The sequence below is a fragment of the Homo sapiens genome, chromosome 19, assembly GCF_000001405.40.
Source record: "Homo sapiens chromosome 19, GRCh38.p14 Primary Assembly".
Taxonomy (NCBI): domain Eukaryota; kingdom Metazoa; phylum Chordata; class Mammalia; order Primates; family Hominidae; genus Homo; species Homo sapiens.
In genome coordinates this window covers 34,193,354-34,220,624 of record NC_000019.10, presented here as the reverse complement: position 1 = coordinate 34,220,624, position 27,271 = coordinate 34,193,354, and the positions used below count along the sequence as shown (strand labels likewise).

At 39.8% G+C, this 27,271-nt stretch overlaps 1 protein-coding gene across 30 annotated transcripts in view; it reads right to left on the bottom strand.

Annotated features, from left to right (window-relative positions):
* Window positions 1-27,271, bottom strand: part of LSM14A (LSM14A mRNA processing body assembly factor) — a 56,785-nt gene that overhangs the window by 8,664 nt on the left and 20,850 nt on the right. For 8 of the 30 annotated variants that reach the window (NR_169266.1, NM_001384434.1, NM_001384433.1 and 5 more), the window contains 7 exons: window positions 25,984-26,147; window positions 23,862-23,991; window positions 11,574-11,696; window positions 5,325-5,501; window positions 4,964-5,029; window positions 1,052-1,234; window positions 748-919 (listed from right to left, as the gene is read on the bottom strand). Coding sequence is in view for 24 of the 30 variants with exons in the window: in NM_001114093.3 (NP_001107565.1) it covers window positions 748-919; window positions 1,052-1,234; window positions 4,964-5,029; window positions 5,325-5,501; window positions 11,574-11,696; window positions 23,862-23,991; window positions 25,984-26,147 (1,015 nt within the window). In the remaining 6 variants the exon portion in view is untranslated. Of the gene's footprint in view, window positions 1-747; window positions 920-1,051; window positions 1,235-4,963; window positions 5,030-5,324; window positions 5,502-11,573; window positions 11,697-12,548; window positions 12,615-21,073; window positions 21,158-23,861; window positions 23,992-25,304; window positions 25,407-25,973; window positions 26,148-27,271 lie in introns of all 30 variants that reach the window. The other 22 variants (NM_001384426.1, NM_001384425.1, NM_001384424.1 and 19 more) reach the window with 14 other exon arrangements.

Here is a 27,271-nt window from a genome sequence, read left to right as displayed (position 1 = left end):
ATGACAATTTGGATTGGGCAGGAGAACCTCTAGAACTGTTAGTTCCTCACACTGGGTCCTTTAATTAACCTCTCAATAATTTGCCAATTTTCTGGACCCACATTTACTACAATCTGGCAGTTTTATGGTACCAGCAAACTTCAAAGTAGATTAGCACTTCGGTTCTGGCTTCATTTGAACTGTAACATACAGGGGTGAAAAAAAGGTCCTACTTAGACATTACCTAAATGCTTGTTTTAATTGCTAATATTCAAATATGAATATATCCTTAAACAAAAGTATATGGTTATTTCTTCTTTTGAATGAATAATTTAGAACTTTAGTATATATTTTCTTTTAGCAAATAAAACATTAAAAAATCAATTATGGCCAGGTGTGGTGGCTCACGCCTGTAATCCTAGTACTTTGGGAGGCTGATCTTGAGGCCAGGAGTTCACGATTAGCCTGGGCAACATAGCGAGACCCCCATCTCTACAAAAAAATGAAAAAAATTAGCCGGGTGGGGTGGTGTACAACTGTAGTCCCCTTTACTGAGGCTGAGATGGGAGGATTGCTTGAGGTCAGGAGCTTGAGACTACAGTGAGCTGTGACTGCACTGCTGCTCTCCAGCCTGAGTAACAGAGTAAGACTGTCTCAAAACAAAACAAAACAATTATGGTAGTATTCATTAAACCTCGTGAATTTACATGAAACCATTTTACACTTCAATCAATATCATAAGATAAAAGAACAGCTTAAAAACTGTACCTATTGTCATCACAAGAAATATTATCAAAGAAGGATTTAGTTTTGTCATAATAGCAATTAGGTCCAAGTGGATCTTCTTCATCGGCATTTCCTTCACTGTTTTGGGTATCAACTCCTGAGTCTCCTTTATCTTCACCATTTACAGGCTTCTCCTGTTTCTCAAGTTTATCTTCTAAGAACAAAAGCACATATCAGAAAAGTCAAGACAGCTAATCTGAATTACATAAAAACACCTAATCTGAGAAACATCTGTAATTCACAGATCAAATAAGATTATTTTCTGAAAAGAAAAATCAAAGCTTACCTTTTAATTTAAGTTTATTATGAAACTCTCTGTCAATCTCTTCCTTGTTGAATTGTGCATTTGCACTTTCAAAGTCAAAGTCTTTCTCAAATTTCATTGGCCCATCTCGCCGAATACCAAATCTTCCCCTGCCACCCCGATGACCCCCACGCCCTCTCCTTGGAGCTGAAGGAGCACCTGGAGCTATGATAATAAAGAATATATACAAAGGACATTCAATATGTAATAGCTGGTTTAGCACAGATGTTGCTATTGTGCTCTTTAGATTCAACAGTCAACAACAGAAATGCTTACAGGTCTCTCTATATATTTTATTGTATTTGTATTTTTTATACAAAATAAAAAATTAAGTTTCACTAATATTTAATATGTAGACTGAGAATAGCTCACACAAAATTTCTAAACATTTGTATTTATGGAGTCCACACTCACATGTGTTACTGACAGAGTATACAGCCAGGCAAGTGTGGAGGCTTCTGCACTAAATTAATGTATGCTCCTTGAGGTCAGGGGCTTTGTTTTCCTTACTGCTATATCCCCAACACCGGCAAACTGAAGTGCCAGACACACAGTGGGTTCTCAAAATGTAGAAAGCCTTTTATGGAAAGAATAACAGGAACCAAGATTTATAGTAAGAAAAATAAACACTAATCGGCACAAATTGCAAGAAAATAGGTGTTATTTCCACATCACAGATAAAAAACAGACAAGCACCAATCCTTACTGACTCAAAACACTTCCTACTCCATCTTTACTGTGTCTCTCCAGATGGCTCTATATTATTCAAGCCTTCCTGTATCTACACATTCTCTCTCCTCTATAACACAGTAAAATTTCAGCCAATCATAAGAGACATGATAAAGCAATACAAAGCAGCATAATTTATAGTGAAAAACGTGGGAACCCAAATATCCAACACAAGAAAAATGACTAACAAGAAAAAAACAGAGGAAGAATATTTGATGTTAACTGAAAAACGCAGAACAGAAACCAGTATGAGTTTAATGATCACAATTGCGTGAAATGCTCCACACATACTGACAAGGATGAGAAGTGACTACAGGGTAACAAGATAGGTTTGCGCTGTTTGCTGAGGTTTGGCAAACTGCCTGGGTTTGAGAAAACAAACCACAAAACCCCACAGCAGCATATCCAGACATAAATCTAGATAAGTAGGATGTTTGAAACATTCACCTCTACTATTAAAAATGCCTCGGCCACAAGCCAGAATTACACCATGATCCTTCTGTCTTAAAAAAAAATATTTTGGGGCCAGGCGCGGTGGCTCACGCCTGTAACCCCAGCACTTTGGGAGGCCGGGGCGGGCGGATCACGAGGTCAGGAGCTCGAGACCAGCCTGACCAACAAGGTGAAACCCCATCTCTACTAAAAATACAGAAACATTAGCCAGGCGTGGTGGCGTATGCCTGTAATCCCACCTACCCAGGAGGCTGAGGCAGGAGAATGGCTTGAACCCGGGAGGCAAAGGCTGCAGTGAGCAGAGATCGCACCACTACACTCCAGCCTGGGTGACAGAGCGAGATTCTATCTCCAGGGGGAAAAAAAAAAAAAAAAAAAAAGGTTTTGGGTATAGATGTCTGTGTCTGTAAAATCTACAAAAAAAATCGGGAAGAATATGCACTGTTCTGTTAATGAACCTCTTTGGTGGGGTGAGTTTTGAAGGGCAATGAAAGATAGTATGGCAGTTATTTTATTTTGGGAGGGGAGCTCTCTCTTTTTCTGAATAAAAAGGGTAAAATATAATGAGTCAAATTAAACAAAATTCTGTATTCCATGGCATATGTAGTCCCAGCTACTCAGGAGGGTGAGGCAGGAGAATGGCATGAACCCGGGCGGTGGAGGTTGCAGTGAGCTGAGATCGTGCCCCACTGCACTCCAGCCTGGGTGACAGAGGTTGACTCTGTCTCAAAAAAAAAAAAAAAAAAAAAAAAAACACGGGGGGGGGGGATATAAAAATATATATATATATAAATGTAGAGAAGAGTACATATACATCTAAAAATATCATATCTAGATTTCTAAAATTAAGTGAAAGATCATTTTTCAATCATTTTCTAAATAAGGTAGATTATACATTCCCTTTTTAATTTAGAAGAGTTGTAAAATTATAATTTATTTTCCATTAATAAATTTGAAAATATTAATAAAATGAATGATTTTAGAATGTTATATATTACAAAACAGATAAAGAAAATATAAAACCTTATTAAATCAATAATCATAAAAGAAAACTACAGCTCTTAAACAACTGATTCAAAAACAGGATCTGGGCTCAATTTTTTTTTTTTTTTTTTTTTGACAGACTCTCGCTCTGTTGCCCAGGCTGGAGTGCAGTGGTACGATCTTGGCTCACTACAACCTCGCCTCCCGGGTTCAAGTGATTCTCCTGCCTCAGCCTCCCGAGCAGCTGGGACTACAGGCGTGTGCCACCACACCCAGCTAATTTTTCTATTTTTAGTAGAGACAGGGTTTCACCGTATGGCCAGGCTGATCTCAAACTCCTGACCTCGTGACCTGCCCGCCTCGGCGTCCCAAAGTGCTGAGATTACAGGTGTGAGCCACCGTGCCTGGCCTCTGGGCTTAATTTTAATGAGGAAACGTTTCAAACTTGTAACATGAAGAAAATTCCATTCCCAAAGGCATAGAAAACAATGAAAACCAATTTTATAATCCTAACTTGAAACTGACACAAAACATAAAAACCACAAAAGTAGAAGCCATAGGAAAATGTAAATATAAACGAACAAATCCTTCTAGCAGGAAATACTCAAGAACATATTAAAAGATAACTGCCTGGCTGGGTGCGGTGGCTCACGCCTATAATCCCAATACTTCGGGAGGCTGAGGTGGGTGGAAAATAAGGTCAGGAGTTTGAGGCCAGCCTGGCCAACATGGCAAAGCCCTGTTTCTACTAAAAATACAAAAATTAGCTGGGTATGGTGGCACGCGGCTGTAATCCCAGCTACTAGGGAGGCTGAGGCAGGAGAATTACTTGAACCCGGGAGGCGGAGGCTGCCGTGAGCTGAGATCACACCACTGCACTACAGCCTGGGTAACAAGAGTGAAACTCCATCTCAGAAAAAAAAAGGCCTACCACTAAGTAGAATTTTTTTCCAGAAAAGTAAAATTTTTTTTTTTTTGAGACAGAGTCTGGCTCTGTCGCCTAGGCTGGAGTGCAGTGGAGCAATCTCGGCTCACTGCAAGCTCCACCTCCCCAGTTCACGCCATTCTCCTGCCTCAGCCTCCTGAGTAGCTGGGACTACAGGCGCCCGCCACTGCGCCCGGCTAATTTTTTGTATTTTTAGTGGAGACGGGGTTTCACCATGTTAGCCAGGCTGGTCTCGAGCTCCTGACCTCGTGATCCGCCCGCCCCGGCCTCCCAAAGTGCTGGAATTACAGGCGTGAGCCACTGTGCCGGGCCCAGAAAAGTAAAATTTTAAAAAATCTTTTTATTTTAAAGTAATTATAGAAAAGAAAAATTGAAAAACTAGTTCAGAGTCGTCCCTTGTGCCCATCACCCAACTTCCCAAACTCCAACAGTCACATCTTATATAATTATGGTACATTATCGAAACCAAGAAACCGACACAGGCACAATCTAATTAACTAAACTACAGACCTTGCTCAGATGTCACCAGTTTGTACATGTACTCATTTTTTGGTATGTCTTTATGCATAGTTCTATGATGTTCTACCATATATAGATTTGCAAAACTACCACCACAATCAAGATAAAGGACTGTTCTGTCACCACAGTGACACTCCCCTGTGCTCCTCCTTTACAGTCACAACCCCCGCCTTTCATTTTTTTATAGTAATTATGTATCATATATTTAAAATATTCTCCCTGTTGAGAAGCATAGAATATGACTTTTAGATCCAAGAACTTACCTACTTGTCTCTTGTTATCATTTCTGAGTTGCTCATTTTCTGGCCTTGAAACTTTGTGTACTTCAGCTACAGAAGAAGACATGCAAAGTGCCAAATCAACTCAGGGTACATCATCAAAAACTTCCATAGTTAGAAATGCAAACAAACAAACCAAAAAACCCAAAACAAAGCCTGTGCAATGCCCAAAAAACTATACCCACACCACCACCACTTTGAGTCAAATTTGAAAGACCAAACATTCTATCATATTCAGTTTAATTTTCTGGGATCATTCACATGAAGTAAATCCTTCTAATGAAAATAAAGTGAGTGGAAAACATTGATCAGTCAATTAAGGAACAGTAAACAGCTAAAGTTCTACCTCGCCTGTGCTCCTGATTCTCTCCTGCCTTTTGGCTGGCAGATGGCAAAGGCCTGGTTGATACAGGACTCCTTCTCCCAACAGCTGCTGGAGCAGGTAAGTGGGCTGAGGCGGTCTGCACTGCTTGTTCCATGGTTGGGCTTTTTCTCAAAGGGTCTAACTGAGGGCTTGAGCGACCTAAAATGTAACCAAAAGATAACAAACTACCCTATTGGGGATTTCAAAATAATCTAGACCCTAAAAAAAATTGTCCAGAGTTTTATTTCTATCAATTCAAACCCTTAGCACAAATTTGAATTAATCCACTTATCAGACCAGATATTAAGAATGGTATCCTTAGTGGGCTTGTCATTAGGTTAAAAATAAAAAATAATAATAATTTAAAAAAAAACTTCAACAGCTTCAAAACAACTCCCTCCCCCTCACAATTTTATCTGTTATTTCTACTTAGTGGAAGAGTTTACATCAAAAAAAAAAAAAAAAATTGCTGCCAGGTACGAGATTCCCTAGAATTATCCTACAAATTATCATGTTGTAGTCAGGTCAAACACAGGCTTTCGCCAATGACAACCATAAGACTATGGTGACTTGTTTTAATCTTTCTTAGTACTTTCTGTAGATGACTAAAACAATACCTTTACATCTATCTACAGGTATTAACTCCATTAAATTTCTATTATAAGAAAGTAAAGGGCCGGGCGCAGTGGCATATGCCTGTAATCCTAGTCCTTTGGGAGGCTGAAGCAGGAGGATCGCTTGAGCCCAGGATTTCAAGACCAGCCTAGGCAACATGGCGAAACCCTGTCTCTACTGAAAATACAAAAATTAGCCAGGCGTGGTGGCGCGTGCCTGTGTTCCCAGCTACTCAGGAGGCTGAGATGGGATAGCTTGAACCCGGGAGGCAGAAGCTGCAGTGAGCCGAGATTGTGCCACTGCACTCTAGCCTAGGTGACAGAGCAAGGCCCTGTCTCATAAATAAATAAATAAATAAATAAATAAATAAATAAAGTAAAAGAACTACAAAGTTAGATAGGTGAAGTTCTTTAATGCTTTAGGGGCTTGGGTAATTAAACATAAAAACTAAAAGGCCAGCAAAAAAACAAACAAACAAAACCAAAAAACAAACAAAAAAAACCCTTCAGATAATTACACAGTAGCCATACTCATTCCTTGCCTTTTAAAAGATCTCTTGGCAAGTTTTTGCTTAATATGGGGTTTGGCTGGGCGCGGTTGCTCACACCTATAATCCCAGCAATTTGGGAGGCTGAGATGGGCAGATCGCTTGAGCTCAGGAGTTCGAGACCAGCCTGAACAACATGGCGAAAGCCTGTCTCTACAAAAAAAATACAAAAATTAGCCAGGTGTGGTGGCACATGCCTGTAACCCCAGCTACTCAGGGGGCTGAAGTGGGTGGATTGCTTGAGCCTGGGAGGCAGAGGTTGTAGTGAGCCGAGATCGGTCCACTGCATCCAGCCTGGGTGACAAAACTAGACTCTGTCTCAAAAAATACAAATATAAAAGAGCCAAAACAAAAAATGGGGTTTGTACTTATACATTATATTTTTCCTTTTATGAGGTCGCCTGGTCACAGCATGAACTGAAGAATGTAACATCGGGTGCTCCCATCATGCTTTCTGTCCTGATAATGTTTGCTGTACATCTCTGCTTAGGCACTCACATCTCATAATTATTCCAAAATATAATGTTTTGCTTAAAAAAAATGCTCATTTCACGTAAAAAAATCCCCCAAATATGCTGCAAATGTTACTGTCCATCTGTGCATATTTGCAGGTGTCAAACAACTGGTGAGTGCTGACAATGCATTATTATGTACCTAGATGATTCAGGGATAATTTATTAGTAATATTTCCCCAATTTATGATTATCTAAAGTATGCACTTACAAATGTGCAATACCATTTCAGCCATTAATGGCAAAGTTAGCCAAATAAATGATCATTTATCAAAACCCAGAAACCGACACAGGCACAATCTACTTAACATTTCAAAATTAAGTTACCACTAATAGAAGCATTACAATTTTTCCACTGGATTATAATGGGAAATCATGGTTTATGTAAGTTTTGGCCTATGAAAAAAACATTTTATAATCACTTATAAAACACATTTTGTTTTTTGTTTTTTAGGGACAGGATAGGGTCTTGTTCTGTTGCTCTGGCTGGAGTGCAGTGGCGCAATCACAGCTCGCTGCAACTTCTAACTCCTGGGACCCAATGATCTTCCTGCCTCAGCCTCTTGAGTAGCTAGGACTATAGATGTGCGCTACCACACCTTGCTAATTTTTTTTATTTCACATGTCTTCCTGAAAAAGCCTACTGCTACAGTTAATTTTATGGTACTACATTAAATCATCTTATAAGTTTATAAAACTTCTTTATCAAGGCTTTTGAGAAAAGATCCTATGGCTCACAAGTACTACAGAAGTACAAGCAATGGGGCAATCGGAGCAAGTACAGAAACATTTGTTGTGTACTTAAAAAGCCTTTTCACTATTAAGGCCTACTAATCATCATGATGCCAGTTTTGTTATAAACAGGGAAATACAGGTGATACTGTGATACTGGATACATTATTAGGAATAAATCCAGAAGTGATTTCTGCATATTATAGACACACTCCCTTGAGCTATCTTCACAATCTTATCACACTTAAAATTCTAGGAATTTTAATTTTGTGAAATTCAGCAATTTTAGTTGATAAAACTTAAATGCAAACTCTTAGGACTTGTCATTTGTCATAACTTTATGTAAATACACCTCTTTCTTTTAATAAACACATACTTCAAAATTTTTAACATTTTAATCTATTTAAAATTTATATATTTTTTGGTGCTCAGTATGAGGGAAAGAATCTAGAGTGACTTTCTCCAAATGATCAGGCAACATTATTAATTGGAACAGACAGCCTTCTCTCCACTAATTTAAAATAATACCTTTATCATCTACTAAATTCTTTTAAGATGAATTCTTGCTCTGTTGCCTAGGCTAGTGTGCAGGGCCGCAATCACAGCTTGCTGCCACCTTAACCTCCTGGGCTCAAGCAATCCTCTAGCTTCAGCCTCTCAAGCTGATAGGCGCACACATCACGCCCAACTAATTTTTAATTTTTTTAGAGACAGGGTCCTGGTATGTTGCCCAGGCTAGTCTCAAATCCCTGGCTTCCATCTTGAACTCGCAAAATGTTAGGGTTTCAGGCATGAACCACTGCACCCAGGATAAATTCTTATTTATACTCGGATCTGTTTCTGCCTGCCTATTGCTTTCTATTCATCTCTTTCTTTTTTCCTGCATTGCTACATTTTATTATCATGTCAGTAAACCCATTACTTTTATTTTTCAAATATGTCCAGCCACACTTCCATGTTTATTTTAAAGATAAACTGTTTTACTAAGTTCTCCTACTATTCTATTTGCATTGATTTTTAATTAATTTGCAATAAATTTGTTAACTATGAGGAGTAAAGTCTTCCCAACATCTTTTTTTTTTGGGGGGGGACAGGGTCTTGGTTCTGTCGCCCAGGCTGGAGTGAGGTAGTGCAGTTAGGGCTCACTGCAGCCTCGGCCTCCTGGGCTCAAGTGATCCTCCTGTCTCAGCCTCTTGAGTAGCTAGGACCACAGGTGTCCACCATCATACTCTGCTTATTTTTAAAATTTTTTGGTAGAGATGAAGTTTCACTACGTTGCTCAGGCTGGTCTCAAACTCGTGGGCTCAAGTGATCATCCTGGCTTTGCCTCCCTAAGTGCTGGTACTGTTCTTGTTCTTCTATCTAGCAATAAGATATGTTTTTTCCATTACATGCAACTTTTATGTCCCTGTCTTACATTATTTATCATAGAAGTTGGTCATATTTCTTAGTATGACCAACTTATTTCTTATTATATATTTTGTATACAATTTCTATTTTGCATTACTGTAATCATCTTTTCTCCTCATTACATAATCAATGGATTAGGCTTTAGGACTATTAAATTTTTTTTTTTTTTAAGATGGAGTCTCGCTCTGTCGCCCAAGCTGGAGTGCAGTAGCGTGATCTCGGCTCACTGCAACCTCTGCCTCCCGGGTTCTCCCACCTCAGCCTCCTGAGTAGCTGGGATTACAGGTGCACGCCACCATGCCCGGCTAATTTTTGTATTTTTAGTAGAGATGGGGTTTCACCATGTTGGTTGGCCAGGCTGGTCTCGAACCCCTGACCTCAGGCGATCCGCCTGCCTTGGCCTCCCAAAGTGCTGGGATTACAGGCATGAGCCATCGTGCCCGGCCAGAACTATTGACTTTTGTATATTTAATTTACATTTTGCCTGTGCCTAATTTAAGTTCCTTATTAGTTCTCATTCTTCATGAATAATGCTAATTTCAATATTTATGCTTCTTTTTCATGTGTTCCTGATTTAACTAAAAATTCCAGAATAGGCCGGGCACTGTGGCTCATGCCTATAATCCCAGCACTTTGGGAGGCCAAGGTGGGTGGATCACTTGAGCCCAGGAGTTCCAGACCAGCCTTGGCAACATGGCGAAACCCCGTCCCTACAAAACTAGCTGGTGGTGCTTGCTTGTGATCTCAGCTAATTGGGAGGATGGCCTGAGCTCAGGAGGTAGAGGCTGCAGTGAGCCATGATCACACCACTGCATTCCAGTCTGGGAGACAGAGCAGGACCCTATCTCAAAAAACAAACAAACAATCTTTAGAATGTTTAAAAATTAAGCAAGTAGGCTGGACGCAGTGGCTCACATCTACAATCCCAGCACTTTGGGAGGCCAAGGCAGGTGGATCACTTGAGGTCAGGAGTTTGAGACCAGCCTGGCCAACATCACGAAACCACATCTCTACCAAAAATACAAAAAAATGAGCTGGGCGTGGTGGCACGTGCCTGTAATCCCAGCTATTTGGGAGGGTGAGGCAGGAGAATCGCTTGAACCTGGGAGGTGGAGGTTGCAGTGAGCCGAGATTGTGCCACTGCACTCCAGTCTGGGTGACAGAGCAAGACTCCATCTTAAAAGAAAAAAAAAAAGAAAAAAATTAAGCTAATCAATATGAGTAACAGTAAGAACTATTTCAAAATATCTTAAGTGAAATACATAAGATTATGTTTAGCATTGAATTTTTACCCTTAATAGCTTTTTAAAATACTGTCTTGTGACTATAGGTCTTTCTGAAATGACTCAACATTGTTTTACTTAAAAACAAAACAAAACAAAAACCATTCATATAAAGCAATGAGCCAAAAATACCCATTTCTAAAGTGCATAAAAATAGATAAGGAAAAGCCGAGCATGGTGGCACAAGGCTGTAGCCCCAGCTACTGGGGAAGCTAAAGTGGGAGGCTTGTTTGGGGCCAGGTGTCCAAGGCTGCAGTGCACTATGATCACATCTGTAAATAGCCACTGCATTTCAGTTTGGGCAGCATAGTGAGACCTATCTTTAAAAAAAAAAAAAAAGCCAGGCCCAATGGCTCACGCCTGTAATCCCAACATCCCAACACTTTGGGGAGGCCAAGGCAAATGGATCGCTTGAGCCCAGGAGTTCGAGACCAGCCTGGGCAATACAGGGAGACCTCATCTCTAATAAGTAAATAAAAGAAAGAAAAAGATTAAGAAAAAAGGAAGAAACAAAGATAAGAATAAAAGGTATGGATAACCATTTAAAATTATGAGACTGGCTGGTTGAAGAGCAGAATCTTAAGAAATAAAACAATCCTTTAAGAAGCTTATTAAAATATAAATCCTCAGGCTCCAGGGATTCTGATGTATAAGTCTCAGGATTTAAATTTTTAAGAAGCACCCCAGATGATTCAGTTGTGGGTAGCCTACACTGAGAACCACTACTCTCCATCCTGTGAGGATGTTAGGGAAAATGTTAACAGCATAATACAGTTTTTTTCAGATGATATTTCCAATTCATCTTGGATAGCTCAACTTTAATGGTGAGTATGAGCCTAATTTGATATATTTAAGTGTTACATACAAGTTATATAATTGCTTTGCAAAAAAAGTCCAACTTAGAGAATGCTCAGCATTTCAGTTTCATGATCTAAGAACTGTAATAAGTCTAAATAGTGAGAGTCATTCAATAATATATTCATTGCAATACAGCGATTTGGAGAAAAATTTTAAAAGAGCCAAATAGAAATTATACACGCGATTTACAAGCTGCAAAAGCTCTTACATTCAGAAAGACAAAAACCACTATAAAAGTTTAGAATGGAAATATTTTAGGGATGAGATAGCTTACCTTGAGATAACTGTGTTTTTAGAGATCTTGTATCCTGTGTAAAGGCAGAACCAACCGCACTACTTTGGGGTAAGGTACCACTGTTTGATGTTTCTGTTCCAAAGGATGTCAAAGAGCTTCCAGCTTAAAGAGATGTTTTTAAATGATAAAAAAATTTTAAAAAATGTTTGACATTATTCAATGATATAAAGTAATGCAGCATTTTAATGATGGTAATTGTCTACCTCTCCCCCCAGCATCTGTACAAATTAATAATCTTGGAAATTAAAGTGTACTGAATAGTTTGGGAATTTTATGGCAATATGGAGGGCAGGGGAAGGGGGAGCCAATATACTGTCCACTATCCTTGGATGCAAGCAATGTTTATAACACATGGAGTGCTGTCCTAGGCAGTTATGCAGATGGGACAGCAAGGACCCATACCAACTAGAGAAGTAGCAGAAATGGTACATTCAACACCAACATTAAGGTTCAGTGATTCTAATACTAAGTATCTGGACAAACAGCCAAATCAGCAGACAGGTTTACGAGGAGCTTTTTTAGCATTTCCAAGGCAATAGACAATGGACTCTGGTTTCAATGCTTCCCCTTAAGATAGGACTGTGAGGCTGCATTCTGCCTAAAGCAGCTGCAAAAAGTTCTGGCAATATGAGTAAAAAGGTCCCTAGAAAGGGCCCAATTCTCTGCCATACTAGGTTATATCAAATTTCTTCTCTAAGTTTCTACAGTACTTAGGGATCATTCACTTTTGATATACTGTGCTCTTTCCTTGGTATTTCATCTAAGCAGGTTTTCACTATATTTCAACAGTACCTCCCCCTTCCACAACCTCTAAATCCAACCTAAAGATGGTAGTCAGAGTGATTCTTTACAAAATATAAATGTAATAACATTATCGTGCTTTAGACCTTCTGGTGGCTTCCACTGTCCTCAAGATAAAAGTTCAAACTATTCACTTCAGTTAATAAAACCTACCTCTTCTCTCAACATTTTCTATATTTTCACCAGTCTAGCCCACAGCAGAAGTTTATCCTTCTGCTCCTAAAACACATGAAGATTACAATCATGCCCCTTGCAATTTGCTCATTTTCAGGTTAGTCAACTCCAGTCCCTTCAACCATTACTCACTTCACATGGTCTTTAGGACACTCTCCCCTTCCTTTCTTGGACTCCTAATTTAATGAATTCTATTTGTTCTTATCCCTCTTAAAATGTGGCTTTAGGGCCGGGCGCAGTGGCTCACACCTGTAATCCCAGCATTTTGGGAGGCCGAGGTGGGCAGATCACGAGATCAGGAGTTCAAGACTGGCCTGACCAGTATGATGAAACCTCGTCTCTACAAAAATTCAAAAATTAGCTGGGCGTGGTGGCGCATGCCTGCAGTCCCAGCTACTCAGGAGGCTGAGGTAGGAAAATTGCTTGAACCTGGGAGGTGGAGGTTGCAATGAGCCAATATTGGGCCACTGTGCTCCAGCCTGGGTGACAGAGTGAGACTCTGTCTCAAAAAAAAAAAAAAAAATGTGGCTTCAGAAAGCAGCACAGTATCTTAGACAAGGGGAGCCACTGGGACTCCCTTGGAGGTGCAGTCCAGTCTGGCTGCAGCTCCAGTAAGCTCAGGAGAAGCCTAATACAACTTCCCACAATATCCCGGTAATGTGGGGACTAGCGCTTTCAAGAATTCTGTGGGGAGTAGAACCCATCCAGTTATTTCTAGTATTCCTGGGTGATGACCAAGACATCAGCCACTTTGATGTATATTTGCATCTCCAGGCTGCTCTGTGTTTCCTCACCTGGCTTGGCCTCCCATTGCTTGTCCTCTGGATTACGCATTCAATGGTTAGAGCAAATCTCTTCCGTGAGTTCCTGATCGTGCCACACCCCCCTCGCTCTACTCCAATTCTACTACCAATTTATGTCTATAATCTATTCCAAATTATTTTTAATTTATAGTTTAAGCCAGGGGTCAAGTTTTATTTTTTCCACAGATAAACAGCTGCTGCAACACCTCTTGTTAAAACAATGTCTTTTCTCTCCATTGAACTGTCTTGGTACTCTGTTTTAAGTATCTGAGTGGGTCTATTTCTGGATTCTCTATTCTTTATTCCTGGTCTGTTAACGTGGTAAGTTACAACTGATTTTCAAATGTTGCAGCTTCGCAGTCCTGAGATAAATCTTTGTCATCATATACAATCCTTCTTCTGAAGTGCTGGCTTCTACATCTAATAAACATTACTACGTTTATGTTCATGGGGGACAATGATCTATAATTTTCTTGTAACGATCCAGTCACAGTTGGTATTTCAGTTATTTGGCCTTGGTTATAGGGTCAGCAAATATTTCCTCTTCCTGTATTCTCTGAATTTTCTTTTTTTCTTTTTGAGATGGAGTCTTGCTCTGTCGTCAGGCTGGAGTGCAGTGGCGCGATCTCAGCTAACTGTAACCTCCGCCTCCTGGGCTCAAGCGATTCTCCTGCCTCAGCCTCCCGAGCAGCTGGGACTACAGGCGCGCGCCACCATGCCCAACTAATTTTTTTTTTTTTGTATTTTTAGTAGAGACAGGGTTTCACCATGTTGGCTGGGCTGGTCTCGATCTCCTGACCTCGTGATCTGCCCGCCTCGGCCTCCCAAAGTGCTGGGATTACAGGTTTGAGCCACCGTACCCAGTCTTTTTTTACTTTTTAAGAGACAGGGTTTTGCTCTGTTGCCTTGGCTGGAGTGCAGTGGCACAATCATGGCTCACTGCAGCCTTGAACTCCTGGGCTCAAGAGATCCTTCTGCATCAGCCTCCTGAGTTACTGGGACTACAGGCATGCATCATGGTGCATAGCTATCTGAAAGAGTTTGTGTAAGATTAGTGAAAATTATTTCTTCCCTAAATGTTTGGTAGAATGTAACAGTAAAAACAGTCTAGAATTTTCTTTCTGGGTGATTTTAAATTACTGTTTCAATTTCATTAGAAGATATAGAGATATTGAGATTTTATTTCCTCTTGTGTTGGTTTGCTATTTTTCAAGAAATTTGCCCACTTCATCCAAACTATCACATTTGTTGACATTCATATATTCCCATATTATTCTTTTAAGGTCTATACTGACGTCTACTCTTTCATTCCTGGTATTGGCAACTTGCTTGGTTGTTCTTTCTTTCCTTAATCAGTTTTGTTAGGGACTTATCAATCTTATAAAATAAAAATAAAAAATAAAAAAACCCACCCAAAACAAACTCTTGACTTTGCTGATAATATAATCTATTTCTACTTCATTGATTTCTGCTCTTATCTTTTTATTTTCTTCCCCCTCTACTACTTTTGGAATAATTTTCTTTCATTTTTTTTCCTAGCTGTCCCCTGGCGTCCTCACCAACTTTTCTTAGAGACATGGTCTCACTCTGTCACCCAGGCTAGAAGGCAGTGGCACAATCATAGTTCACTGCAACCTTGAACTGCTGGGCTCAAGGAATCCTCCCACTTCAGCCTCCCAAGCAGTTAGGACTAAGGGCATTCACCACCATGCCCAGCTAACCATTTTTCCTAGTATTTTTTTTTTTTTTTTTTTTTTTTTTTTTTGTGAGATGGAGTCTTGTTCTGTCGCCCACGCTGGAGTTCAATGGTGTGATCTCGGCTCACTGCAACCTCCGCCTCCCGGGTTCAAGCGTTTCTCCTGCCTCAGCCTCCTGAGTAGCTGGGATTACAGGCACCTGCCATCATACCTGGCTAATTTTTGTATTTTTGTAGAGATGGGGTTTCACCATGTTGGCCAGGCTGGTCTCGAACTCCTGACCTCAGGTAATCTGCCCGCCTTGACCTCCCAAAGTGCTGGGATTACAGGTGGGAGACACCACACCTGGCCCTTTCCTAGCTTCTTAAACTGGTAGCTTAAAGCACTGATTTTAAAAATTCTTATTTTCTTTTCCTTTTTATTTGAGACAAAGTCTTGCCCTGTAACCCAGGCTGGAGTGTAGTGACGTCATCTTGGCTCACTGCAACCTCTGCCTCCCCAGCTCAAGTGATTCTCCTGCCTCCGCCTCCCAAATAGCTGGGACTACAGGCGCATGCCAAGACGCCTGAGTAATTTTTGTATTTTTAATAGAGACGAGTTTTTATCACATTGACCAGGCTGGTCTTGAACTCCTGACCTCAAGCGATCTGCCCATCTCAGCCTCCCAAAGTGCTGGGATCATAGGCATGAGCCATTGCGCCCAGCCGAAAATTCTTGTTTTCTAATACATGTATTTAAAGCTATGAAAATTTTTCTAAACACTGTTTTAGCTACACCCACAAACTTTCTGGTCATTAAATTGAAAATAAAATTTTTTTAATTTAATTTTTTCTTTTTAGAGAAAAGGTCTAGCTCTGTCGCCTTTCCTGGAGTGCAGCAGCAGAATCACAGCTCACTGCAGTCTTGAATTCCTGGGCTCAATCAAGTCTCCCACCCCAGCCTCCTGAGTGCTAGGACTACAGGTATGTACAACCACACCCAGCTACTTAAATTTTTTTTTTTTTTTTGCAGAGACAAGGTCTCCCTATGTTCCCCAGGCTGGTCTTGAACTCCTGGCCTCAAGTGATCCTCCCACCTTGGCCACCACCCAAAGTGCTGGGATTACAGGTGTATGCTATCACATCTGGTCTAGATTTAAAATATTCTCTAATTTCCCTTGTAAATTCTCCTCTGATCCATTAGTGATTAACAAGTTTACTTGATACCAAATTATCTGGGGATTTTTCAAGTTAACTTTATTAATTTCAAGTTTATTTTGTGGTTTAACAATATACCATGTATGATTTTATTCCTTTTGGAATTTAGTGTGACTTATTTTATGGTCCAGCATTTGGTCTATATTGTTGAGCAGTTCATGTCTACTTAAAACAATATTCTGCAATTGTTGGGTATACTGTTTTATAAAAGTTACACATTTAGGACTGTTGTATCTTCTTGATGAACTGATCCTTATCTTTACGAAGAACGCCCCCCCAACCTTTACCTCTGGAAGAAATCCTGATCTTTAAGCTCCTTTGTCTGATATTAACGTATGCTACACACTTTTCTTGTTATTGCTGTTTGTATGGTATACCTTTTTCTATTCTTTCACTTTCAGTGCATTTCTTATAAACATAATATAGTTGGGCCTTGTCTTTTTTTTTTTTTTTTTAAATTCAGTCTGACACTCTCTGCCTTTTAACTGGAATGTTTAATTCCTTCACATTTTACCAAAGTAGATCTTTAACAATCTTTCTTTCTTTTTTTTTTTTTTGAGACAGGGTCTCGCTCTGTTGCTCAGGCTGGAGTACAGTGGCATGATTTCAACTCACTGCAACCTTCATCTCCTGGGTTCCAGGGATTCTCCTGCCTCAGCCTCCTGAGTAGCTGGGATTACAGGCGCACGCCACCAAGCCCGGCTCATTTTTTTTGTATTTTTAGTAGAGACAGGGTTTCACTGTGTTGGCCAGGCTGATCCTGAACTCCTGACCTCAAATGATTCACTCGTCTCAGCCTCCCAAAGTGCTGGGATTACAGGCGTGAGCCACTGTGCCTGGTCTGATCTTTAATAATCCTTAGTTTAACATCCATAATGGTTGAAACACCCCCCTGGCTTTATGCTAACTGTAAAGTTCGTAAGCATCTCTTCAAGGCTTCATCACTCAGTGATTAAAAATTAGTCTCTACAAAACACTGGAGACCTAAGAGAACCATCCTCCAATATGGTTTGGCTATTTAATCAACTAAAATGTACCCACTGATGGTCTATTCAGCCAATACTCCTCCATCTGGCACATAAGATTATGAGACTTAAACAATCAACTGGAGTAAATATAACAGAAAAAACATCTAATTGCTCCATGTTTCTTCACTGTAATCCTTGCTATAGAATTACTTTAGATAGCTGGTCAATCTATACCTTTCACTGTTTCTATGAATCCTTTTTCTAACTGCAGCAGTAAGCTCTTGCTACTGTTCAATGGTAACACAGGGAAATACTGTTTTGATGCTTCATTTATTGTGAGGTGTTTAATTTTTCCAAGAGTTCAGAAATTAAGGCCAGTAATGATCTAATCTCTTACACATAAGAATTATTTTTGCATCAGTTTTAAGAAAAGTCCGCCAGGCGCGGTGGCTCACGCCTGTAATCCTAGCACTTTGGGAGGCCGAGGCGGGCGGATCACGAGGTCAGGAGATCGAGACCATCCTGGCTAACACGGTGAAACCCCGTCTCTACTAAAAAAAATACAAAAAATTACCCGGGCGTGGTGGCGGGCGTCTGTAGTCCCAGCTACTAGGGAGGCTGAGGCAGGAGAATGGCGTGAACCAGGGAGGTGGAGCTTGCAGTGAGCGGAGATGCGCCACTGCACTCCAGCCTGGGCAGCAACAGAGTGAGTCCTTTAATTCTACCTGGTATATTATTCTTCTCAATGTATGAGAGTATATATTCTTCACATACTTGCCAAGAGTATGCATATAATCAAGCTTTTGAGTTTTTGCCAAACTGATAGTGAGAAATGGTGTCTCAGTGTAGATTTAATTTGTATGTTTTTCACTATAAGCAAGATTTTTTTTTTTTTTTTTGAGACACAGTCTGGCTCTGTTTCCCAAGCTGGAGTGCAGTGGCGTGCTCTTGGTTCATTGCAACCTCTACCTCTCAGGCTCAAGCAATCCCCCCACCTCAGCCTCTGGAGCAGCTGGGATTACAGGAGTGTGCCACCATGCTTGCCTAATTTTTTTTTTTTTGTAGAGCCAGGGTTTAGCTATGTTGCCCAGGCTGGTCTCCAACTCCTGAGCTCAAGCAATCCTCCTGCCATGGCCTCCCAAAGTGCTAACGTCTTTGTACTCCAGGCTGGGCAGCAGAGCAGGACTCAGTCTCAAAAACAAAACAAAACAAAACAAAACAAAAACCAAACCAACCAACCAAATGGAAAAAAAAAAAAAAAAAAACTTACTAAAAAGCAATAATAAGGGTGGGCATGGTGGTTCCCAACACTTTGGGAGGCGGAGGCAGGCAGACTGAACCCAGGAGTTCGAGATCAGCCTGGATAACATGCTGAGATGCTGTGTTTACCAAAAATACAAAAATTAGCTGGGCATGATGGCACATGCCTGTAGTCCCAGCTACTAGGGAGGTTGAGATGGGAGGACTGCTTGAGCCCAGGAGGTCTAGGCTGCAGCGACCTGTGGTTGTGCCACTGTACTCCAGCCTGGATGACAGAAAGAGACCCTGTCTCAAAAAATAAATAAATAAAAATAAAAAGCAATAGTAATAACACACGAAAACGTAAATATATAAAAATTTTCTCATCAAATAGCAATACTGTGATCCAGATTCATTTAAATTTCCTTTTAAAATCAGAATACTAGGAACCAAAAATGAAAAGAGGCCTAGCTTAAAATGTGGTTTACTTTGTGCCAACAAAAGCTAAATTTGGCTGGGCATGGTGGCTCACGCCTGTAATCCCAGCACTTTGGGAGGCTGAGGCGGGCGGATCAAGAGGTCAGGAGTTTGAGACCAGCCTGACCAACATGGTGAAACCCTGTCTCTACTAAAAATACAAAAATTAGCTGGGCGTGGTGGCACATGCTTGTAACCGCAGCTACTCAGGAGGCTGAGGCAGGAGACTCGCTTGAACCCGGGAGGAGGGGGCTGCAGTGAGCTGAGATCGCACCACTGCACTCTAGCCTGGGTGACAGAGCAAGACGCCATCTCAAAAAACAAGCTAAATTTAAGTTAATTCCTTTTCTGAAAAACATCTGTCACCTTGACCAATGCCACAGCTTTCCTCTTCCTCATTTGGTAACTTCTAACACTAGTTTTCTAATTAGCCACTCCACAAATTATCCTAACCAATATGGAAATCAATTAATCAAAAATAATCTGACCCTGCAAAAATTACTCTACTGACATGGAAAATGCCAGTAAAATCTTCTACTTTTGTGACACCCAAGTAATAAACCAACAACCCACAATAATATTAAAATTAGATTAAAATATTTATAAAAGCATTTCACAACCACAAAATACTCTGATTAAAAAGTAAACCTTGAAGAATGGCAGAAGCAATAGTTACTATATAGATACTACGTGCTTGATCCTGTTCAAATTTTTTAACATAATTAGTTACATAAACTTCATGGTAACATAAGAAGTATAATGATGATCTCAAAGTCAGTTAACTATTTAATTTAGTCAAAGGAGCCTCAAAAAGGATAATACAATTTGCAATCATTCCTTACTTGAATCCCCAGGAAAGGATTCTAAGTTACAGTTAACATACAGTATATCTTGATTTAACATGAATAAATAACATTGATCTTACTACTGGATTTGGAAATTTATGGACCAAAGTTACACTATTTCACCTAAAGTAAGTCTAAAAGGAATTAATTTTTAATTATGAAAAATGTCAAACCTATGTTAAAATTGAAGGAGTACACAGAATATCAATATATTCCTCACCTAGACTCATCAACTGTTAACATCTAACCAAACCCACTCTGTTTCTCCATCTTTATACCTTAATATACACATTTTTCTTTTGTTTAGAGAGGCTAAAATCAATTTGGCCCTTTTACTTTTAAATACTTCAAAACCACCTCCCCCAAACAAAAACACTTTCCCATATGATTAACCAGAAAATTAACAATAATAACAAAATCCAACAATTAGTCCATACTCAAAAGTTCCTTAGTAGTCCCTAAAATGTTCTTCACACCAACTTTTTAAGTTTTCTTTTTCTCCCCTGCAGGAAACAAACACGCCAACTTTTTAAAAGCCCAGTATTCGATTCTATATTACATTTGGATGTTATGTCTCTTCAGTCTTTGCCAGCCTAAAGCAGTTCTGCTGCCTCTCTCCATTCTTTGTAATATTGAATCTTTTGAAGAGTGTGGATAACTGTCTCGCAAAACAACCCACCTTCTGGATATATAAGCCCATTTCTTCAAAATTAGATTCTGTATTTTCAGCAAGAACCCCACAAAGGTGATATTATGTTTTGCCCCCCACCCCAATCATCACAACAGGAGACACATAATTGTTCATGGCAATGCTAAACTTGAGCACTCAACGAAGTTGGTAACCACCAGATGTCTGTGTTACAAGGGTACATTTTTCCCCCTTTGTAAATTGTGGGATGATACTTTAAGACCACCTTAATATGCTGTCCTAACACCTTTCACCCAATGACTTCAGCATCTAATGATAATCCTCGCTAATTATTATACTGAGATTAGAAAATGGCAATTTTCTTTATCTACCACTGCTTCTACTTATTAGCAGGCATTTTTATATGAAAAAAGTATGTCTTTTCCTTTGTTTTTCAATGGGCCCTTGTTCCTTTTAGTGGGGAGTGGTATTTAGAAACTAAGAGCTGAGTCTACATGTGTCCCTTGCTACGGGGTTTCCATTGTTTCTAGGTCCTTTCTACGAACAGAGCTAGGAAATAACCAGTTTTTAAAAAATGAGTCCATACACATACCATCTATTTACATTCAGCACCACAGGGTTCTTTCTCACCTTTCCCATTCCATATTTATATCTTCCGTCTCCATGGTAAAAACACTATTTCCCAACATAAGTATTTTATTCATTTGCCCTTTCCTATAATACATACAAAACAGTTTAAGAATTAACACCTGGCTGGGTGCAGTGGCTCACACCTGTAATCCCAACACTTTTGGAGGCCAAGATGGGCGGATCACTCAAGGTCACAAGTTTGAGACCAGCCTGGAAAATATGGGGAAACCCTGTCTCCACAAAAAATACAAAAGAAAAATCTAGCCGGGAGTGGTGGTGCATGCCTATAATCCCAGCTACTCGGGAGGTTGAGGTGGGAGGATGGCTTGAGCCTGGGAGGCGGAGGTTGCAATGAGCCGGGATCGTGCCACTGCACTCCAGCCTGGGTGAGAGCCAGATCTTATCTCAAAATAAATAAATAAATAAATAAATAATAACACCAATAATACAAATCAAAGTCAAGTTTTCTTAGTAGTTCTATTTGTTGTTAGAATATATCCTACTAAGAGTGTAAAAGTTACCTGAATTATTTTTTCCTCTGTGTGGTTTTTTTTGTTGTTTTATTGAGACGGAGTCTCACTCTGTCGCCCAGGCTGGAGTGCAGTGGTACGATCTTGGCTCACCGCAAGCTCCGCCTCCTGGGTTCACGCCATGCTCCTGCCTCAGCCTCCCGAGTAGCTGGAACTACAGGCGCCCACCACCACGCCCGGCTAATTTTTTTGTATTTTTAGTAGAGACGGAGTTTCACCGTGTTAGCCAGGATGGTCTCGATCTCCTGACCTCGTGATCCACACGCCTTGGCCTCCCAAAGTGCTGGGATTACAGGCGTAAGCCACCGCACCCAGCCCTCTGTGTGGTTATATTATCAATTTAATATGTAATAGCATCTGTGGTTTCTGTTTATATTCATTCAGTTTTATTTATTTATTTATTTTTAGACGGAGTTTTGCTGTTGTGGCCTAGACTGGAGTGCAATGGCACGATCTCAGCTCACTGCAACCTCTGCCTCACAGGTTCAAGCGATTCTCCTACCTCAGCCTCCCTAGTAGCCGGGATTACAGGCATGCACCACCACCACGTCCAGCTAATTTTGTATTTTTAGTAGAGATGGGGTTTCTCCATGTTGGTCAGGCTGGTCTTGAACTCCTGACTTCAGGTGATCCGCCCACAGCCTCCCAAAGTGCTGGGATTACAGGCGTGAGCCACCGCGCCCAGCTCATTCAGTTTTAGTTTGCTTTTTTTTTGCCATTCTTTGTTATTTTGTGAATAAGTAAAACATTTAAATACTTAAGTCACATCTGTATAAAAAGTATATTCACAGGAAGGAATTTAACAATTTTAATAAAACTTATTAGCATATCAATGAGTTTCAAGATACACCTGAAACTAAATTTGTGGTGCAGTGAAACAGTAAACTGATAATTATTTCAATGAAATTTTAAAAGATTAGGGGCAAAAGCTTGAGATTTAAAGCTGTTTTTTTTTTTTTACACTTGAGCTTAGCCAAAAGGCTGAGAAGCGATTTTTTTTTAAAAGCTGTTCTTTACCATGGTTTAAACGCTAAAATGCATAGCTATAAAAACAAAACACTGAGCTAATCTGATTACATCCAGCTTTTGCACTCAATAGCCCTTGACCCTCCAGTCATAAGCAAGCCTGTCATTCGCCCAGCCCTGCTATACATTCTCATTATAGTTTCGTTTCAAATCCAGTGTTACAGAAACAAAACACCAAGCCCTCAATCATGCTATGCGTATCTTTATGTGTGCATGTCTTATGTATGTTTAAAATAAACATTTTTAAATGTTTTAGGCCGGGCTTGGTGGCTCACGCCTGTAATCCCAGCACTTCGGGAGGCTGAGGTGGGTGGATCACTTGAGGTCAGGAGTTCGAGACCAGCTTGGCCAACATGGTGAAACCCCATCTCTACTAAAAATACAAAAAAATTGGCTGGGAGTGGTGGCGCACACCTGTAATCCCAGCTACTCAGGAGGCTGAGGCAGGAGCACTGCTTAAGCCTGGGAGGTGGAGGTTGCAGTGAGCGGAGATCATGCCACTGCACTCTAGCCTGGGCAACAGAGCAAGACTCTGCCTCAGAAAAAAAAAAAAAAAAAAAAAAAGAAAAAGAAATTAAAAAGAAAAATTTATTAATTAAAATCCAGGCCAGGCGCAGTGGCTCACACCTGTAATCCTAGCACTTTGGGAGGCCGAAGCAGGTGGATCACCTGAGGTCAGGAGTTCAAGACCTGCCTGGCCAACACAGTGAAACTCCACCTCTACTGAAAATACAAAAATTAGCTGGGTGTGGTGATGCATATCGTAATCTCAGCTATCTGGGAGGCTGAGGCACGAGAATTGCTTAAACCCACGAGGTGGAAGTTGTAGTGAGCCAAGATAGTGCCACTGGACTCCAGCCTGAGTGACAGAGTGAGACTTTGTCTTTAAAAAAAACAAAACAAAACCAATTACCAATAAGATTTGGTAGATATTGGATATACCTAGTATATCCAATTTGGTAGATTTGGTAGATATTGGATATACCTAGTATATCCATTTTTTTTTTACCTAGTAAAAAAAAATGTTACTCTGTGAAAGCTGACTTTTAAAAACCCACTAATATCAATAAAGGCTTTAAGATATCATCAAAATGTGTTCTGAATACCATAAAACAAAGTTACAAAAGGAACATCAAACAACATTTCTAATAGTTGGTGTTGAGTTTCTATACCTTTGTGGTAAAGAAAGGAAGAATACAAAAACAAAAAAAGAAAAGAAAAAGAAAACATACCAACACCAACAGCACCAAACTGCTGCCCAACTAAGGAACTCGGACTGAACTGACTGTATGTGGGCATCCTGCCGAAAGGTCCATAAGAACCCATGGACTGGAATGAAGAAGTCGATGAGCCTAGTGAGGACTGAAGGAAAATCATGAGTTATGTTTCCAAGCTCTAAGCAACATGTATATAACGAAAAAAAAAATTCCAGATTTTTACTTTTAAGAAAACTATTAAATTATAACTACTAGATATAAAATGAATTACAATATGCACTTAATATTAAAATAGCCAAACAACCTTTTGATTTCAGTATCTGTCTATAATGTGCCAATTATACTCAATGTGACTTACAAATACTTTTTTCTACAATAAACTCCCCATTTGAATTAAGAGTTTTATAGATTGAGGAAAGAATTAAAGTTACTTAAGTAAAGTAACTTTGCTTAAAGAAAAATATGAGAAAAATCACACTTAGTAATAATGAGTTTTAGTCTGATGTTGATATAAATCTCACGTATGATTTTACTCTTATTTTCAATCATTTGAGGCCTACTATTAAATTCACAGACGTAGAAACAAACATATCCCACATAAAACCATTTACATTTTTACTTATAGTTACATTAAGCTGAGGAACATTTTATAAAAACTTTAACTTAAACCTAAAGCATATAAAATATATAACATATATTAATACATGTATACTTCATATATTATCTTACTATAAACTGTTTCATAATATAAACATGAAGTGTATTAAAGGCTACCAGGACATACACTCACTGATGGCAGGACCTTTTCTGTGTGTTCACCACTAGTGTTAAGCACATGCCAGATACTCTGTAAATACTACTGAATGAATGAATAAGGAGATCAAGTAGAAGTTTATGATGATTGGAAGAAGTTATTCAACACCATTTTCATATGCGCTCTCTTAGTTTTTCTCCTTCCATAAAACCGATTACTCAAATAACTGGTTTCCTGGAGAATTATCAAAAGCCATATAAAAGAGACAGTAAGGTAACTCCAGTGTTTGGTGTAGGGAGCTATCTCTATTAAGAATGTGTCTCTTCCTTCTCCATTTAAAGAGATTCACATTTCCACTTCAGGCTTCCTTTCACCAAAATAAGACTTAACAAGGGTAGGGGTAGATGAGAGTAGAGAATTTCTCCAGCTTATGCTGCAACAAAATTTACAATTCCTTATTAAAAAGCTTAAATTGGGAGATTTAAGAGCTGATCTAAATATGTTAAAATACATTGATGTTTGTGTTTTCTTATTATATAACATTGCAGGCCAGGCACAGTGGCTCATGCCTGTAATCCCAGCACTTTGGGAGGCTGAGGTGGGCGGATCACCTGAGGTCAGTAGTTTGAGACCAGGCTGGCCAACATGGTGAAACCTCATCTCTACTAAAAATACAAGAATTAGCCGGGTGTGGTGGTGCATGCCTGTAATCCCAGCTACTCAGGAGGCTGAGGCAGAAGAATCACTTGAACCTGGGAGGCGGAGGTTGTAGTGAGCCGAGTTCACGCCACTGTACTCCAACGACTCTGTCAAAAAAAAAAAAAAAGAAAAAGAAAAACAAAACAAAAACCAACACTGCATATTATAACATATGCAGAACAATGTGATTTTGCTTTTTTTTCCCCATTAAGCCTAATAATCTTACCTAAGAGTAGCTGTTATTGCCTTGGTTTGCAATATAAACCATATCTCAATAGCATGGTAGCACGGATCCTAGATTCTGAAGCAGGCTGCCTGGATCTGTTCAAATTGTGGCTCCATCTGAACTTCCTCACTTGTTAAAAGTGAGAATAATTATAGTACCAACCTCAGAGGGTATCTTATATGCACAGCACTTCTACAGAGTAGCCTTCAATGTTAGCTATGGTAATTGTTGTTGAAATTAGAAAATATTTCATAATAAATTCCTCAGCTGTTTCTTACCTTAGTTCTAATTTATGATACAAAGAGAAAAACCTAGATGAGAACATTATCCAGTAATTTCAGGTATCCCAGTAACTTGGAAATGATAAGCTACATGAACATTCAACTAGAGAGAAAAAAGCCAAGGCTAACCCTGTGCGGAGTTTACCTGTACTCCAAGACAAATTTACCATCAGTTACCTGAACAATAGCTGGGTCTTGAGGCAAAGAACACTGTGGTTTTGGTGGCTCACAAACAGTAAGGTCTTTAATGTCACTCCCACGGAATATAATGTATTCAAAGACTTCATCTCGAGGTGGTATTGGACGATCTGTCGGTCTGTCTTCTGTACCAAAGGATCGAACTGGCAAGAAAACAAAGGATATGAGATGTGTGACTACTCATCACATTCAGGTAGTACCCCAGATTCTAAATGTTGTATTTCAAGTACTAAGCAGTAGTTCTGAAATGTCTGAGAAAGTATTCATTAATCTATAGCTAAAAAAGTTTTTTTAAAGAGGAAAATAGAGTGGCTTTTGCCCGAAGTTAAATATATGCAATATAAAAGACTATCTGTATTATGAGGTTGTGTTCCTCTTATATTTTTATTTATTTGTATCTTTAGTGGTTGTAGTGGGGTGTTAAAATGTCCTTTCATTATTTATTTATTGATGAGACTGGGTCTCTGTCCCCTAGGCTGGAGTGCAGTGGTGTGGTCATGGCTTCCTGCAGCCTCAGCTTCCCGGGCTCAGGCGATCCTTCTATCTCAACCTCCCACGTAGCTGGGACCACAGGCATGTGCCACTAAGCCCAGCTAACTTTTTTTATTTTTTAGTAGAGATGAGGTCTTGCTATTTTGCACAGGCTGGTCTTGAACTCCTGGCCTCAAGTGATCTTCCTGCTTTAGCCTCTCAATGTGCTGGGATGAAAGGCCTAAGCCACTGTGCCTGGCTCACGGTTAACTTATTTTTAATGTCCTCATTCGACAAAATAAAAATTAGCAACCCATGTCTTTCTTGGGGAAGGAGTGGGAGACAAAGATTCCTCCAGTCTACAAAATCTCAAAGTTTGGGTATTGACCTTTGGGACACAGAGAGCAATGAAGGTATTAATAACATTTACCTTGCTGAGCAGTAAGTCCTCTAGAAGCCAAGTCAAGCAGCTGCCAGCTACTCAGCCCCATGGGACAGCTTGAAATACCCTAGTTACCTAAAATATCTACCATATAATTAAATCTGATTATTTTAACAATGAAGACAGCATTACTCAAAGTTAAACTGGGGACCACCTGCAACACAGTAAACTGGCTACGAATAAAGATTTCTACCGAATCTTTTTGCTGGGGACAGGGTCCAAAAATCTGCATTTTAAGCCAATTTCTGGCTAGGCACAGTGGCTCATGCCTGTAATCCCAGCACTATGGGAGGCCAAGGTGGGAGGACTGCTTGAGCCCAGGAGTTTGAGACCAGCCCTAGCAACACAGTGATG